General features: G+C 41.3%; 1 protein-coding gene and 1 long non-coding RNA gene across 2 annotated transcripts in view, besides 2 other annotated features; one reads left to right on the forward strand and one right to left on the reverse strand.

Annotated features, from left to right (window-relative positions):
- MDN1-AS1 (MDN1 antisense RNA 1) overlaps nt 1–18,100 on the forward strand; it is a 50,950-nt gene that overhangs the window by 18,675 nt on the left and 14,175 nt on the right. The window lies entirely within an intron of this gene.
- The window catches only part of MDN1 (midasin AAA ATPase 1), a 177,297-nt gene that overhangs the window by 14,709 nt on the left and 144,488 nt on the right, over nt 1–18,100 (reverse strand). Inside the window, exons 79-90 of the mRNA NM_014611.3 lie at nt 16,898–17,383; nt 16,030–16,256; nt 15,341–15,496; nt 14,994–15,157; nt 13,713–13,874; nt 10,808–10,945; nt 7,281–7,422; nt 5,586–5,761; nt 4,881–5,033; nt 4,225–4,372; nt 1,404–1,711; nt 1,003–1,164 (exon numbers count right to left, since the gene is read on the reverse strand). Of these exons, the coding sequence (NP_055426.1) occupies nt 1,003–1,164; nt 1,404–1,711; nt 4,225–4,372; nt 4,881–5,033; nt 5,586–5,761; nt 7,281–7,422; nt 10,808–10,945; nt 13,713–13,874; nt 14,994–15,157; nt 15,341–15,496; nt 16,030–16,256; nt 16,898–17,383 (2,422 nt within the window). The remainder of the gene's footprint in view (nt 1–1,002; nt 1,165–1,403; nt 1,712–4,224; nt 4,373–4,880; nt 5,034–5,585; nt 5,762–7,280; nt 7,423–10,807; nt 10,946–13,712; nt 13,875–14,993; nt 15,158–15,340; nt 15,497–16,029; nt 16,257–16,897; nt 17,384–18,100) is intronic.
- Nucleotides 640–1,839: an enhancer, noted in NCBI's record as "BRD4-independent group 4 enhancer chr6:90367565-90368764 (GRCh37/hg19 assembly coordinates)". NCBI's record gives its function as "activates an origin of replication core promoter dependent on BRD2, P300/CBP, MED14 and CDK7 cofactors, and independent of BRD4, by STARR-seq in HCT116 cells {active_cell/tissue: HCT116}" and the evidence as "EXISTENCE:reporter gene assay evidence [ECO:0000049][PMID:35650434]".
- Nucleotides 11,004–11,298: a silencer, noted in NCBI's record as "tiled region #852; HepG2 Repressive non-DNase unmatched - State 16:ElonW". NCBI's record gives its function as "represses a minimal TATA promoter and a strong SV40 promoter by Sharpr-MPRA in HepG2 cells {active_cell/tissue: HepG2}" and the evidence as "EXISTENCE:reporter gene assay evidence [ECO:0000049][PMID:27701403]".

The raw sequence follows: 18,100 nt of genomic DNA on the forward strand, positions 1-18,100 counted from the left end.
CTCATGGGGACATAGAGAGGACTTTCTGAAGTACTGAAAATGCTTAGCACCTAATGGGTGCTCAATGAATATTTGTGGTGGTGGTAGTCATACGGTATAAGCAATATAAATGGTTGTTATTGTCAGTAAGAACTAGGACTCAAAGAGACTAAAGTTGTCCAGAATCACCACTGTAACCAGCAGGTCCTGCGTTGACATCCCATGTTCTTTCCATAGCACCCAGCAACCTGAATTGTGGCCATATCAGAACACATCACCACCAGATCAAAGAATGAAAAAGTTATCTGCTTTTTAAATTAGACGTTTAGAAACCTGATGATGAGCAAGGAAAAGCAAAACACCGTTAAAGGTATACATTGCCTGAAGTCTAAATTCCATGTTTCCTTCCTGGAGAGCTTTCTGAAAAACAACACGAACCTGATTCTCCCATCTAGAGCTACCAGTCTAACAACTTTTTCTTATTATGCACACCACTTAAATACAGCCGATATTCCGGGGTTTGTCCTGGGAGGCATATAAAAATAAGTAGCAGTCATGTACCACACAACAACGTTTCAGTCAAGGAAAGACTGCATGTGCACTGGTGGTCCTGTAAGATAATAACACGTTTTTACTATATCTTTTCCATGTTTAGATTCACAAATACTTACATTGTGTTACAACTGCCTGCAGTATTCAGTACAGTAACATACTGTACAGGTTTGCAGCCTAAGGGCAATTGGCTCTACCATTGAGGTTTGTGTAAGTACACGCTATGGTGTTCGCACAATGACGAAATTGCTGAATGAGGCATTTTTCAGAATGTATCCCTGTCTTTAAAAAATAACTGTTCAGTCACGCGTTGCTTAAAGAATGAGATGTGGTCTGTTAGATGTCAACAACAAAACAAACAACAAAATAACCAAACATAAACCAACTAATGCTACACAGAATGTGATGTCGGACAGGGAGAAGAGACCCTACTAAGAGGCAGCTGGCGGCTGCAGTGAAACCACTGATCACCTCTTTCCCCTGCTCCTTCTCAGGTGCGGCCCCAGCCAGCTCCATGGCCTGTGTGTTCTGCATGTTCTCCACACCAGTCTGCCCACAGGAGGCATGCTCCTTCCTCTCCAAAGCCTCTGGCACCTGCTCCTCTGTATCAGAGTCCTCCCGTTCTTCTTCCTCCTTCGGCAGAGAAATCAAACACAGCATTAAATGCTCTGGGGGAACAGCATAAGGTGGGAGACCTTGCAACAAGCAGGCTTCCCCACTCCTCACTAAGGGTCTTAAAACAGAAACCTAGAACTCCTCGGAAGTGCCACATGTTGATGGAGGAGTATCCTAAAAGGGATTCTAATGGGAATAAGGTGACTTCTCCTCTTCCTCATTATTTTTAACATAAAAAGCCAGACATCTCATGATACCTGGGGCTGGAAACCTTGGTCAGCAGGGCCATTCTCTCCACCTTCTTCATCGGCTTCCTTGTCTTTTTCCTCCACAGACTGCTGCTGCTCCTCAGAGTGTTCTTCAGGATGCTGAGCAGCATCTCCATCTTGGTCATCAGCTCCTGTGTCCATTTCCTCTTCCCCTTCTGCCTTGTCATCTTCACTGGGGCCTTCCTCAGGCTCCTGTGGACTCTGACTTTCGTTCTGGTCGGTCTCGGTCTCTCCTCTTTCCTCAGCTTCATGACCTGCTTCTTCTGGTTTTTCTTTTATCTCCAAAGGATTCTCTTCTGTATAGATACAACAAAAAGGAGGAGTGCAGAATTTTTGAAACGTACATGATTTCTTAAGCTGGGAGCTACTTATGCAAGTTTTGTCTTATTACAATTCTCTAAACCAGCGAGTGGCAAATTGTGACCCACAGGCCAAATCTGGCCTCTACATGTTTCTATGAAGAAAGTTCTACTGGCTGGGCACTGTGGCACATGCCTATCATCCCAACACTTTGGGAGGCTGAGACAGAAGGATCACTTGAGTTCAAGACCAGCCTGGGCATGCATCATAGTGAGACCCCATCTTTTACAAAAAATAAAAAATTAGCCATGCAAGGCGGCATACACCTATGGTCTCGGCTACTCAGCAGGCCGAGGCAGGAGGATCACTTGAGCCCAGGAGGTCAAGGCTACAGTGAACTATGATCATGCCCCAGTACTCCAGTCTGGGTGAGAGGGCAAGACCCTGTCTCCAAAAACAAGTAAAGTTTTTACTGGAACACAGCAACATATATTCTGTGTTTACCCCATCCGTTTTGTACTGCCTATGGCTGCTTTCACTCTGCAACAGCAGAACTGAGTGTTTGCAATCGAGAGCTTATGGTCTGCAAAGCCAAAAATATTTAATATCTGACACTTTATAGAAAATGTTTTCCCACCCTTGTTTTAAACCATACTCATACATACAGTTGTTTTAATGGCATATTTCATTAAAAAATAATAGCTAATCCACCCAAAAAAACCCCCATAAACAAACAAACAAACAAAAAAACACAATAGGAAAATTTTAGGCCAATGGAAATGGCAGCTTAATGCTCAATTATCATTGTGAATAACTGGTGGATGTCATGATCATATACAGAAAATACAACTCACACTGAAATAGAAACACTCTTATTTTGAAAAAGTTTTATCAAAAGAGATTTTCTATACTTTGGACACTTCAAAAATCAGTTATTAGCAAATTCTTAAAATAACTCTTATTATTTATTTTTTTATTTTTTTGAGATGGAGTCTCGCTCTTGTTGCCCAGGCTGGCATGCAGCGGTGCCATCTTGGCTCACTGCAACCTCTGCCTCCCGGGTTCAAGCGATTCTCCTGCTTCAGCCTCCCAAGTAGCCAGGATTACAGGCATATGCCACCACACCCAGCTAATTTTGTATTTTTAGTAGAGACGGGGTTTCTCCATGTTGGTCAGGCTAGTCTTGAACTCCCAACCTCAGGTGATCCGCCCGCCTCAGCCTCCCAAAGTGCTGGGATTATAGACATGAACCACCGCGCCTGGCTAATTTTTTAATTTTTTAGAGACAGAGTCTCGTTCTGTCACCCAAGCTGGAGTGCAGTGGCGAGATCATGGCCTACTGCAGCCTCAACCTCCTGAGCTCAAGCAAGTCTCTCGCCTCAGCTCCTGAGGAGCTGGGACTACAGGTGTGTGCCATAATGCCCAACTAATTTTTTTTTCTTTGGTAGAGACAGGGTCTCACTATGTTGTTCAGGCTGGTCTCAAACTCTGAGCTCAAGTGATTCTCCCACCTTGGCTTTCCAAAGTGTTGGGATTACAGACACAAGCCTCTGCAACCAGCCTACTGGGTTTTTTTTTCCCATTATCTATTATTTAATTAGCAAACAATTTTAAATAATTGTTCCTTAGTTACAAAACGAGTCTGGCTATTTAAAAGCAGACAGCATATTACATTCTCAGTGGATTTTAATTTTCTTAATTTTATGCTTTCTTGGTAATTGACTTTGTTTGCAACTAGATTCCAAAATTAATTTTTACATAAATGGCACCTCTTATTTATTCCTTTGTAACTTGCTATTTTTGTTCTAATACAGCATTATAAAAATATACATATACATTTTTTAAAATAGATTTTATAACTATGTAACTGACTCATTTATCAGCGAGGCCAGCTCACATCTTTCTGTCTGATTAAGCAGCAGCAGGAATGGGGCCCTCTGTTACAGGGGCACCTCCAACACAATGCTTTCAACTAATACCAGATAACACTCCCTAAAGGATTCACTAGGGTTGAAAAATGGACAACAAAGGCACGAAATACTGTCATATGCCATGCGATTTCTCTTGGGATTATTTAGTCTCATTCCTCACTACACATGACAATCAATAACTGAAACCATCATTTCCCTAAAAAAGCTATAACTGGACTCCACGACAGCTTGGTATACCCAGACTGCACAGCGTTTACACCATCCCATGAGATGGGATACACAGTAATGGCTGTGAAGAGACAGTGCTGTGTGTGAAGCACCACCAGGGCATAGCAGTGCCAAAAGCGAGAATAGGACATGACAGTAGTTTGAGAAATACCTGCTGGTTGATGAGCTGTAGGGATAATCACATGAGAAATACTACAAAGGAAAGGCAAACCATTTTCTCAGACTGGGATTGAGCCTACCAAACGTGATTTATCACCTGGCCATGACACTGAGCTAGCTTTCAAAAGAGAAATCAATTACTGTTCACTAATGTGAGTTCTAACCGGTCTCTTTGTTTCTGAAAGACGCACCTTCTCCTTCTTCATTGTCGGTGTCCTCACCACCATTCTTGTCTTCACTGTCGAGGTTCAAGTCATCTGGAAGGTCCAAAGCCTCGGGTTCTGGCACCTTTTCCTGATTGCCATGGTAAGGGTCCACCTCATTTTCATCATAGTCCCTCTTTGGGACAATGGAGACAACAGGGATAAAATAAAAATACAAATATTTTTTTAAAAAGTAGAATTCCCATAAAATCAGCTCTAAGTATTTACACTGTGAGAGAACACAATATCTATTCCCTAAAATTATCTGCACACATTAGTATTTTATTTTTAGACCTTTCATGTTGGAATCTCAGATTTCACTTTCTGTGCAGGTTATCCAAGGACAAATGGTGCTATGTTACTTAATCTCGAAGAAACTTACAAGAAGAAATAAACAAGGGATCACAGGTTTTAGCTTCTGATCTATAGCATGAGCCCAGACAACATGTGGACTACCCTGTCAGGAACCAACAGTTATATATTTTATGTCCTGTTAAGAGCCTCTGTTGCATATTCTTTTATGAGGTAATGGGAGAGCAGTCGACGAACAGGGGAAAAAATATCTTGAGACACCTTGAGAACTATACAGCTCAAGAGCTCTGGCCTTGAGTCAAGAGAGCGGATCAGTTTCAAATCTTCATTACCTCATCTATTTGTTCATTAATTTTGTCTTCACCTTGTCCACCATCATCAGCTTCTGCTTCTTCCTTTTCTTCCTTCTTATCTTGCTGGCTTTTATCTTTGTTTGAATTGCCACTATCCAAGTTGTCATCTTTAGCAACAAGTTCAGAATCTTCCTAAATGTCAGAGGAAGAAAAAACAATCATCACACTCAATCCAAGAAACTGCTTCTGCATGGGTTGACTTTTAGACATGCATAATTTCTGCCTATTGGACCTATCCCATGGATGGCTGATAAAGTGCCATCCGTGACCTAGAGAAAACAGTGCAGGTCTCCATGACAGCAGCAATATTATTAAGTGTGTGAATGGTGGGGTGAGTTTGATAATTCATTGCTTCACCCTGGGCTGTTGCAGTGTTACACTCAGCCCTGGAGTTCTCCCAAGCTGGGAGCTGGAAAAAATCAGTGGCCTATAGGAGAATCAGCTTAGAACATCTGCACAGGGTCTTGTTCATCCTCCTTCATAACACATGGGATGACTCAGGTCAAGCTACTCTTAGCTCTGAATGTAATCAATAAGATAGGATAGAAAAAAGAAAAAGAGGAATAGAAAAAAGAGAACAAAACAAATACAGAAAAAGAAGAGAAGTAAATGACAGAGAATGGTAGGTTGTGGGCAGATTACCTCCTCTCAGCTTGTTTGGGAGGGGAGAAATCTTTGAATTACCTCATCCATTCCTGGTCCTGTTTCTTCAGTTTTATTGTCTTCTTCCTCCTCATCTTCCTCCTCATCATCATCACCCCAAAGCCTCTCATCTAGTTTGTCAGCTTCCTCACCATTGAGATCGCCCATGTGTTTATCCAGGTCTCCGCCCTCACTATCTGATTTCTCATCATCCTCTTCTGAAAGGGAAGGCACTGAGCTTAGGCAGATCTCCAAACTGACCCAGTCCTGTGTATTTAAGAGAGGTGTGGACCCGCTTCCCTAGCAAGGGCCCCACCTGAGATTTATTGCCTTTTTCTACAGAACACACCCTACGGGCAGATGCCTTTAGATCTACTGACATAGTCTTACTGTGTTTTGCAAAGTAGAGGTACAAGGAAGTCTATAATGTGTGAACAGATGGTAAAAAGAGTAAGGAAATACCTATGAGGATGTCTGGTTTTGGTGCTGGGGGAATGGCCATTATGGGACTCAGCAACCTGAGTTTTATGTCTGAAATGATGGGGTTGGACTAGGTGGTTTCCATGGGTCCTCCCCATCTTCAATATACTGCTATGATTTTTTCCAACACCTAAAATCAGGTCTCAATCAGAATTGTCTTCATTTGTCTTTGCACAGGGTATACTTTGCAAAAGGTCATATCCTATGTGCCTTAGGCCAACTGCCACTAAGGTCAACTTTCATTTCTGCAAGATATTCATTTTAGAGTAAGATACAGTTATCTCCAATTGGACAGAAATTTGGGGCAAGGGCTGAATTATGGTACAAACATATGACAGATGATGATGTACTTTAAAAAATCAAATTCTCAAATAATTTTTAATGACAGGGAGAATGTTCATAAGATGTTAAATGAAAAAAGCAGGCCCAGTGCGGTGGCTCACGCCTGTAATCCCAGCACTTTGGGAGGCTGAGGTGGGCGGATCATGATGTCAGGAGATCGAGACCATCCTGGCTAACATGGTGAAACCCCGTCTCTACTAAAAATACAAAAAAAAAAAGAATCAGCTGGATGTGGTGGCAGGCGCCTGTAGTCCCAGCTACTCAGGATGCTGAGGCAGGAGAATGGCGTGAACCCGAGAGGTGGAGCTTGCAGTCAGCCGAGATTGCACCACTGTACTCTAGTCTGGGGGACAGAGCGAGACTCCGTCTTAAAAAAAAAAAAAAAGAAAGAAAGAAAAAAGCAGACTACAGAACGGTATATGGTTTCTGTGTGGGTATACATGCAATAAATGGAAAGAAATATACCACTATTTATTAAGTGCTATGGCTGGTAGGCCTGAGGGGGGATCTATTTCTTTTCTACATGTTTGTTCCAAATCATCTACAACAAACACCTACTATTTTTCTAATTAGGAATAAAAGGTATTTTAAACACTACAGAACAATTTGCCTTTTGTTGAAAGCCCTTTTCCATTAGGGATCATCTCCTTTCAGGCTTCACTACTGAGCCACTGCATCTAGCACACGAGGCAGCTAAAACATCAATGTGAGAAGAATCTATGAGACACCAGGGACTTCTGCCTCAGTGGAGGTGGTGATAGCACATGCAGCTGCTGAGGTTTTCATTTGCACTTAAGCACAGTAACCAACTTGTTTCAAAAGATTATATTGGGTTCCTTATTAGGAACATGTAATTTCCTGGATAAAATATTTATGCTTTCAAAAACAAGAATGAAGTGACAGATAATCTGAAACCTTGTTCTTCAAGCTCCCCATCATGCATTTTCCCATCAAAATCTTCCGACATCTCAATGGCATTATCCTCGCCCTTAATATCAGATTTTGAATCAGGATCCTCTTTGTCTTTTTCTTGACCCTTCTGAAATGTATCTTCCACCTACATAAAGAAGTATTAAACATAAATAAATGAAACTTTACCAATGTTTGCTTCAGCTGTGAGATATAAATGCCAAGGTTAATGGTGTAAAAATATATCTGGGAGAGGAAAAAAAAAGAGAAACAACAGAGACAGCCACATGGAATTTGTAAAATTTCTGGAGTTAGTTTCCACTTGTTTTAATCAGAGTATAGAATTTTGTTCAGGTTTTCTTATTGGGAATTGTAAAAATAGTCCCAGAGACATTTGCAAGAATATATATTCTTTGTAGGATAAAAAATTCATCAATCTTTTATTATCCAATTCTTTAATACTATTTTTGTCACTATTATCGCTGAAAGACAGTGGCCCAAGAGAATCTTGGTCATTCTTCCTTGGTTTCTATATTTCTTCTATAAAAAATTATTTTTTATGTTGTTAGACAGTGTCTCACTATGTTGCCCAGCCTGGAGTACAGTGGCACAATCATGGCTTACTGCAGCCTCAACCTCCTGGGATCAAGCAATCCTCTGCCTCAGCCTCCCCAGTAGCTGGCACCACAAGCACATACAACCACACCTGGCTAATTTTTTATTTTTTGCTAGAGACGTGGCCTTGCAATGTTGCCCAGGCTGGTCTCAACTCCTGGGCACAAGCAATTCTCCTGCCTCGGCCTCCCAAAGTGGCGGGATTACAGGTGTGAGCGACTGAGCCCAGCCTAATTTATATGTTTCTATATAATTGATGTGCTATTTGGGGCAAAAAGTTTTGTGATTGTTACCTCTTTCATTATGGTTGATTTTTGAAAGTCCTTTTTAAGGCCAGGCACGGTAGCTCATGCCTGTAATCCCAGCACTTTGGGAGGCTGAGGCGGGTGGATCACGCAGTCAGGAGTTTGAGACCAGCCTGGCCAAGATGGTGAAACACCGTCTCTACTACATATACAAAAATTAGCCAGGCGTGGTGGTGGGGGCCTGTAATCCCAGCTACTCGGGAGGCTGAGGCGGGATAACTGCTTGAATCCGGGAGGTGGAGGTTGTGGCAAGCTGAGATCATACTACTGCGCTCTAGCCTGGGTGACAGAGCAAGACTCCGTTTCAAAAAAAAAAAAAAAAAAAAAAAGAAGTCCTTTTTAAAATACAAAAGTAATAGCCAGGCATGGTGGTTCACGCCTATAATCCCAGCACTTTGGGAGGCTGAGGCGGGCAGATCACTTGAGGTCAGGAGTTCAAGAACAGCTTGGCCAACATGGCAAAACCCTGTCTCTACTAAAAATACAAAAATTACCCTGGCATTGTGGCGTGCGCCTGTAATCCCAGCTACCTGGGAGACTGAGGCATGAAAATCTCTTGAACCCGGGAGCTGGAGGTTGCAGTTGAGCCAAGACTATGCCACTGCACTCCAGCCTTGGGGAGAGAGCAAGACTCTGTCTCCAAAATACAAAAAAACAAACAAAAACAAGTTTCCCCATAACACCTCCATCCTCGAAGCCTCTCAAAGAATGACTACCAACAACATTCTGGTGAACCTTTGACTTTTTTCTATGAATACACCAACATATACTTAAGTGATACAGGTGATAGTTACCAATACCTGCCTCCCAACATCTTTTTAAACAAAAAAGAGATCATGCTTTACAGACTTATGCAATCTGCTTTTTTCATTTTTATTTTTCTGAAACAAGGTCTTGCTCTCTTGTCCAGGCTGTAGTGCAATGGCACGATCTTGGCCCACTGCAACCTCTGCCTCCCAGGTTCAGGTGATTCTCCTGCGTCAGCTTCCGAGTAGCTGGGATTACAGATGCATGCCACCACACCCAGCTAATTTTTGTATTTTTAGTAGAGATGGAGTTTTACCATGTTGGCCAGGCTGGGTTTTGTTTTTTGTTTTGTTTTGTTTTAATTTTATAGAGACAGTGTCTCCCTATGTTGCCCCGGCTGGTCTCAAACTTCTGGCCTCAAGCAATCCTCCTGCCTTGGTCTCCCAAAGTGCTAGGAATCCAGGCGTTAGCCACCACACCCAGCCTGTAAAACACATCTCTTCTTAAAAACATCTCAGCCAGGTGTGGTGGCTCACACCTGTAATCCCAACTACTCAAGAGGCTAATGCAGGAGGACTCCTTGAGTCCAAGTCATGGCTGCAGTGAGCTATGATTATAGAACTGCACTCTAGCCTGGGCAAGAGAGCAAGACCTCATCTCTTAAAAATAGGATCTTAGGTTATTTCCATGTTGATACATACAAAACCATCTCATTCTACTTCATTAATAGTTTTACCATTGTTCTGCATGGATGGTGCCATAATTTAATTCTCTTCTGATGAATATTTGGATTGTTTCACAATTTTCACCATATAAATAATGCTGTAGTAAATATCCATGTGTAGACATATATACACACTCATATACCTATTTATCTTTGACACTAGCATTTCTATAAGAAAACATGGAATTTGGGGGTCAATGAATACACATAATTTAAAATTCAGCAGACACTACCAAATTGTTCTGGAAGCTTTTTATTCCATGTAATGTTTTTTGTGTGAACTTTTCTATTAGATTTGCTTTTGCTTTTGACTTTTTTTTTCTACTAGAAAAGTAGTATACACTGATTTAGATTTGAGAAATACAGAAGGCCAAAATAACAAAGCAATTATCTAAGGACAATATAGGTCCAAAAAAAAAAAATTAGAGCTCCATAACATAAATACTAGCATTATTCTTTTGGCTTTTAATTGCTTTCCAGTTTTCTCTGCCAAGGAAGGGAGGGAATTTGAATTGGTTTTCTCCTTTATTTTTAATAACTATAAAATTACCTTAAATACAAGTTTCTGATCTGATTTAACTTAGAATATAAGTGATACACCCAATACACATAAATCACTCACAAATGAGACAGGCATTTAAAAAATCCAAGCAATGTAACAATCTTAGTTCACAGCATCTGAATAGTTCAGAAGGTTGCTTGATTCCAACCAAAAAAGGATACAGATTTTTTAAAACACTCTATGCCTTAAAGATATACAACAGTAAAACCTATTAACAGCAAATTTTGGCATTATTGTTTAATGCAATTATCACTTAAGATAGCCAGGCCTTTTATGCTTAAAAATACTATCAAAAATACTCTAGAAAATCATCAGTAAATATCTGCCCATTTAAAAAAAAAAAGTAAAAATCATTTCCTCCATAATTATAGCCAAAACCAATGATGGAGTTGCCAGGTTCCTTCCTGTGGATTTTAGGCTTTTTATTTACACCCACTGCCGAAGCACCAATATATCTAGGGCTCTGTAGATCACAGATTAAAAATTATTAACCTAGTAAAAACCATTTTTATGTGTAACTTACATGTTGAAAAGAAAGAGAGTGATCTTCTGTCAACTGTATACCTATGTGAAAACGTACCTGTTCTTCATTTCCGATCTGGTCACTCACATCCTTCATGCCCTCGCCTTCTCCAATTCCACCTCCCTCATAGTCATGGAACTCAGTTGCTCCCTCTCCAGCTGAATCTTCCATAAATTCTTTGGGCAAGCAAAATCCCTTAGAAAAAAGAAAAAGGAAGTGAACAATTAGGCACAAAAGCAATTTTAAAAGGAGATTTCATTCTTGCCACAGGAAAACAATTTAAACACATACTGAATTCTTTTTCTAGCTCATTATCTTAAATCCGCTGGAAGTACAGGAGACTTCTGACATTCTTCTCCTCTTTGGTGCTAATAGTTATGCAGTTTCACAGCTTGACATCAGATTTAACATATGACTTGACTTTGTAGAAGCCTCTGGCATGTGGTCATTTGTCACTTTGCCAAGACAAAAACCTAAATGAAGTATACTAGAAGGACAGTATTTTGGAAAAAGTCCTTGAGTAAGGGCAGAACAGGCTCTGGAGAGAACACAGTCAGACATAGTAATAACTGTGAAATGTTGAAAAAAACTATTTTATACAGGAAAATAACCTGAGAAGAATACTAGCCTGCTGAGCAGAAGTAAAAAGAAAAAGTAGTAGTGACTCTCAATCAGAAAGTTTAATTTTGTAAGAGAAAATATATACTATGAAGATATATCTGAGGATGGGAATGCACAAAAAAATAAGCTGCTAATTAGCAAGGAATTAAGATCCCAAACCAGTAAACACTAATTATGACTTGGTTACACAGAAACAGCTTCCTGCGGATCAAGAGCTTTAATTACAGCCTAGATCTATTATCTTAGCACTGTCTAACCTACTCTCAAGTTCCCTTGAACTACTCAGAAAAGATATGAATACAATTTGGACACTTAGAAAAATTTTTAACAAGCCAAACCCACTTTTAGGACATATATTCTCAGAATGTTGATAGGAAAATACAGTTTGGCTTACTTGCTTAATTTTCCCATTGAACTACATTATTTAAATGAGAGACATTCAGAAATAGACAAAGAATACGACCACATAGGAGGGAGTTTCAGATGCCCTTACCAGAGTATATCATTGCAGCTGCTACGTCTGGGATAGCCACAGGGCTCCCAACATTCTGCACATATCAGAACCATTCCTACCCGCAACAGACAAAGGTTTGAAAGGCCAAAGTCATTCTACAGCCTGTCAGACAAAAGCTACGGTACAAATGGACAAATCCAGCTGAGCCAAATCTCAAGGCACCCGAACCACACATTTTCCTGCCACTATCTTTAGTATACAGTGTTTTCTCCAAGAAGCAATGGAATGTTAAGGCTGGCCTGGTGCCCACCAGAGGCGGAGAAACCTGAGACTCATTCTTTTACTTATTATTACTTTTTATTATTATTATTATTACTGTTACTTATCATTACTACAGATAAACATATTTATCCTCTTGATACAAGGCATTAGGCTTGGCTTCCACTTTTTACCTCTTTCCAGTATTTCAGAGACTCGGAACTAAGAACTCTTAATTGTTTATAAGAAATCTAGACCCCATCTTCAGTTTGTAAATTCATATCTTCCTCAAGTACATCTCATCTGTATTAAGCTTGGAGAAAATCTTAGAATGCTAAGAACAAAAACAAAACTTATATACTCAAATGCAGGTGGTTCTCACAAAAATGCATATTAGTATAGGCAGATCTCATTTTACAAATGAGGAAACTGAGGCTTGGTGAGGTTAAGAGAGACCGAGAGCTGGATATCTCTATGACTAGACCTACCCACACCATGTTGCTGTTAGATTTCACTGTCTACTGCCCCTGAGTTTCAAGGGGAGGGTCTACAATCTCTACAACCTCAGTGCTTTTCACAATACCGGGTACATGGCTGAATGAACAAATGACTTCCCTGCTAAAGAAAAAAACTGGCTGGGCGCAGTGGCTTACACATGTAATCCCAGCACTTTGGGAGGCCGAGGTGGACAGATCACAAGGTCAGGAGATCGAGACCGTCCTGGCCAATGTGGTGAAACCCTGTCTCTACTAAAAATACAAAAATTAGCCAGGCGTGGTGGCACGTGCCTGTAATCACGTGGAGATTACAATTACAATTACAATTTTGGAGACTCTGTCTCCAAAAAAACATATATATATATATATATATATATATATATATTTTTTTTTTTTTTTTTTTTGAGATGCAGTTTTGCTCTTGTTGCCCAGGCTGGAGTGCAATGGCATGATTTTGGCTCACTGCAACCTCCGCCTCCCCGGGTTCAAACAATTCTCCTGTCTCAGCCTCTTGAGTAGCTGGGATTACAGGCACATGCCACCACGCCCAGCTAATTTTTGTATTTTTAGTAGAGATGGGGTTTCATCATAATATTGGTCAGGCTGGTCTCAAATTCCTGACCTCAGGTGATCCACCCGCCTCAGCCTCCCAAACTGCTGGGATTACAGGCGTGAGCCACCACAACAGGCGAAAAACACTCTAATAATAACAGGCCCATTATCATTTAATCATAATTACACCAACATGGTTAAAAGAAAACTTAATAGCCTTAAGGGTTTATCCTACAACTCTAGTTCAAGAGTTATCTGAAGATTTACATTGGGGATGGGAAGGGAAGGGTGTTAACAGACGGCAGCAGCTTTTAGACAGCGCTGGAGTTTAGGGAACTCGTCAGTTTGGGGGAAAGGGTGGGTTGGGGATAGGAGGTATCATCTGCAGGTTCTGAGACTTTAGTGGAAACAGCGTTAGCAAAAGGATGCCAGACAAAGCCCTAAATAATCCACAGGGAGAGCAAATCACATCCTGCTATTTGTGGTGGTCCAAAATAAAAGCCTATCACACCAAAGACTAATGACATGAAATTTACTTGGGTCCCTGCTGCTCACAGTGCACCATGTGAACAGTCCTTACCTTCTGGGCAAGCTCTGTAAAGACCTGGGCAAGCACAGAGAGCAGCTTTGCAGTACTACGGTGAGTTGCTAAAGACATGGTCAGGAAGAAGAGGACGAGGTCTGAGTAGCTGGAGAGGACCGGCACCAGGCGCACCAGCAAGGAACAGGATTGGCTGAAGAACTGAGACCAAAACAAAACAAAAGGCCTGCTCACACTGCTTGGCAGGTACCAGGTTTCCATTCTGGAACTAGATAGTGGTGGTAATTGCACAACATTGTGAATGTACTAAATAGTACTAATGGCAAGTTACATGTATGTGTTTGTAACCTCCACCCACCCCAATACACACAGCTCACTGAGATTTCTTCATTTACATATATCGTCACAAAAGTACAATCTCAAACCGATGTCTCCTTTGGCTAACAATGTTGGTTTTTTAAAAATAGAATGTTGGCCAGGCACAGTGGCTCACGCCTTTAATCCCAGCACTTTGGGAGGCCAAAGTGGGTAGACTGCTTGAGCCCAGGAGTTCAAGTTCATGTTGCCTGGGCAACATGGCAAAACCCCATTTCTACAAAAAATACCAAACAAAAAAAACATATAGCCAGAACCCATCTTTACAAAACTTTAAAAATTAGCTGGGCATGGTGGTGCATGCCTATACTGCCAGCTATCTGGGAGGCTGAGGTGTGAGGATCACCTGAGCCCAGGAGGTCAAGGCTACAGTGAGCCATGGTCATGCCACCACACTCTCCAGCCTCGACAACAGAATGAGACCGTGTCCCAAAATAAAATAAGAAAAATAAAATGTTTATAAATAAATTCTGCTGATTCAAAGTTAGCACCGGAGGCAATGCTACAGAATAACATACAATGTCCTGCAAAGTAAGTTGCTTCTCTGGACTTACTGTAAAGACTACAACTGCTTACTCTGTTCGCTTATTGTAGTGGGAATGGTGGTTACACAGGATGGCTGCTAAGCCTCAGTTGATAACATCGTCTATCAGTAACATCAGATACTTGGGAGTATGTGAATAAGATATGAAAGAATCCTAATATAATGGATATTCTGAATGGTTAGCATTTCTGCACCTATGCATCTAACAATTAGCTAGCAAGCCCTAAGCTCTTCAAAGCTTGTCAATGACTTTGCACGTATAAATAAAGAGACCAAGTTCTTAGTGATTTTGGCACTGAGGCCTGCTCTGGCACTTATCTACGTGGAGGGAAGTAAAGCCCACTCTGCCTTTGCTCAGTGCATTCTGAAGAGGAAGAAGTTTGTAAAGAACAGTTAGTTACCAGGTGCTTTGCTGCTGTGCCATCCTCACCGTACGATTTCAGCCTCTCCAACAGCTCGGAGATGGCAGAAATTATTTTCTGCACGTGCAAAGTGCTCACATCGGCCCAGAAGTCATCCTCTAAGAGTTTTGTTAGATGTCCTGATTGCAGTCTCTCAAAGCCTGCTGCCTCATTCATTCAGAGAAAATAACAACATGATGAATAACAGAAAACAAATCCTTTTATCTCTATCCATGCAGTTATCTGTTTCTAACATCCATCCTTAACTATTTAGCCACAGAAATAAATCATCAAATACAAAAATTAAATCAGGCATGAAACTAATTTCTGCCTGATTTCAGACATACCATAATCTTCTTGTGGGCTTGCTTGGTCAGTGTTCTCCTCTGCTTTTTCATTCTTTCTTTCTTCTAAGTTCTGGATGGCACAGAGGATGGCTCGGATGGCAATTTCCATTTGCTCTGAAAAATCTTCCACAAATCCTTCGTCCAACATTTGATTTCCTAGCAGGTAACATGGTGCAAAACAAACATACAAACAAAAGACACCAATCATTTGCTTTAGTGCCTCTGGAAATCATTAAAAATACTCATTTATTGATGAGCCACTGTGTCAAGCTGTGCCAGATACAAAGAAGAGACAAATTCCTTGCCTCGATAAACCTACAAGTTTATTACCTTGTATTAAAACATTTTTACTAAAATAATGTAAAAAATATAAAAATAACAGTTAAGACAGTATGAATAAACACTAACTTAGTCCAAATATCAGTGCCAAGCTTTTTCAATCTAAGGGAAAACAGACAGTGAGCTGATGCTGCCTTCCTATGTGTGTTACAAAGTATGTAACAGGCATCCAAACAAATGGGGCAAAAAAGTTAAGAGCTGTGGATTTCAACCGCACCTCCCTGCCTCAGAACCCTGGACAGGTACATGTAGACCAAAATATAATGTGTCTTTTGGACAATGAGACTTACATCTATAAGACATCATTTCTACACTGGACTTTCATTCCCTGACTGAACAATATTCCTTACCTCCTTGGCTATCTGAAGTAAGCAGATGGGTCTTCCAGGTAGTAAAGTCAGCCATGGCTTTACTAATTTCTCCTCTTACATATTCCAGACTTTCAACTAGTGCCATTTGTGAGTCTCTTTGCTCAACCTCCATCCCTGGAAGAATGAACAAGGACTCTAGGCCCTGCAAATGAACTGACACCTGGGACAAGCAACTCAGCGCAGAAGAGCAAACTTCAAAATCTTTCCTGCAACAGAAATGCCACAATGTTGAAAGGAATGCATTACAGTTCCCACAAACACACACCCCTCCCTGCAACCACTACAAGATATGCAAGGTAGAACTCATCATAGCTGAAGGTTTACGGCTAAACACATGCCACAAAGTGCTGTGCAGGTCCACTGAGTAACAGAGGACTGAAGCACAATTATTTTCATAATTTGATTCTATTACTAAACACCTAGGTTTAGTAATGGAATAAATTACTAAATTTATTCCATTAATGATAAATTTATTCCATTAATTTATTCCAATAAATGGTAAATTTATTCCATTAATGATATTCCATTATCATTAGTATTTGGTGTGATAGGCTTTTATTTTGGACCACCACAAATGGCAGGATGTGATTTGCTCTCCCTGTGGATTATTTAGGGCTTTGTCTGGCATCCTTTTGCTAACGCTGTTTCCGCTGAAGTCTCAGAACCTGCAGATGACACCCCCTATCCCCACCCCACCCCATCCCCCAAACCGACGAGTTCCCTAGGTTCCAGGGCTGTCTAAAAGCTGCTGCTTTCTGTTCACACCCTTCCCTTCCCACCCCCAATTTAGATAAGCACAATAAGGACCTAAGCACACAGAGAAGTGTAAAGACATAGACACACTTACCAAGAATGAAAGAGAGTCTCACAAGACTGCTGTCTAATTTTGTCGACGTCAGCTTTCACTGTTTTAATGGTTTTTAGCATCTCTGTTAATCTCGTAGTTGACTGTTGCCAAAGGTGATCCTGTTTCCGCATCCGGCAACCAGAGGGCAGCTGACTTCCAGGTATTGGAGATGGGTAGCTCAGATTGGAAGGAATTAGGTCCAGCACTACTCCACAAAGTTGTCCCTTGCTAAGTTCTGGTCCTTCCAGGCAGGGGCCAGGAGGCTGCCCCAGTACCTGGACATTGCCATGGCCTGGAGCTGGCCCTACACTGGGGCAGCACTGGAGGAGCCAGGAGAGCTGCTCAAGCAGGATCTGGCACTGCATGGCCAGGTGCTGCAGGCGCTCTGTCCACTGCTGCACGCCATCCTGAGGGGGGAAGGCCACGGGGTAGGCCTGGGGCCCCATCAGCCTGCTGTGAATCTCTTGCACACAGCTGAGGAGGTTCCTGTACAGAGAAACCCATGGGAAAAACACAATGAATGGCACCTTAAACCACTTTACCACATTGTTTTAAAAGAAATTTGTGTTTCTGAACAAGCATGGGCTTTTTCATACAGTCAAGAAGGAAGAATCCCCCAGATAGGTAAAAAGTCTGTTAAAATGCCTCCCAAAGTACTTAAACCCATCCCTCAGTCTTTCAGGAGAAGTATCACAACACAACCACACCACTACAGTGACTTCAACTAGCATTATCTAGTAAATGTGCTGTACTTTGCTAAATAAACCCTAATGAATGGAGCAGAAAATACCTGAAGCTAAAGTGAATAGTCTGGAAATACTGTCCTTCAGCCACGAATCCATTCAACAGATGACGACAACCTTCCTAACTGTCCTCATCTCTTAATTATTTGTTTCCATTGAGGAGCCTCCATGTATGGCTCAGATTGCCATCTGGGGGATCCCCAAAGCCTAAGTAACAGAAGCAGACTCAAATCTCATCGGTGCCCAAGACCATCTCACCCTAATACCATGAACAGAAGCCTAACTATTGGCCCACATGGACTTTTGGCAATGTATATCCTCATTCCAGACACAGGTATAGTTCACCCATAACAATTTTCACTGCCTGACACAGCCCTGAAATCTCTGCAGCTCCATATTCTCAGGAGGTTCAGAGCACGGAGGGAGAGGGACACTAGAGGCATATCACTGAAAGCAAGGG

Source organism: Homo sapiens, chromosome 6 (genome assembly GCF_000001405.40).
Source record: "Homo sapiens chromosome 6, GRCh38.p14 Primary Assembly".
In the NCBI taxonomy this organism is placed as follows: Eukaryota; Metazoa; Chordata; class Mammalia; order Primates; family Hominidae; genus Homo; species Homo sapiens.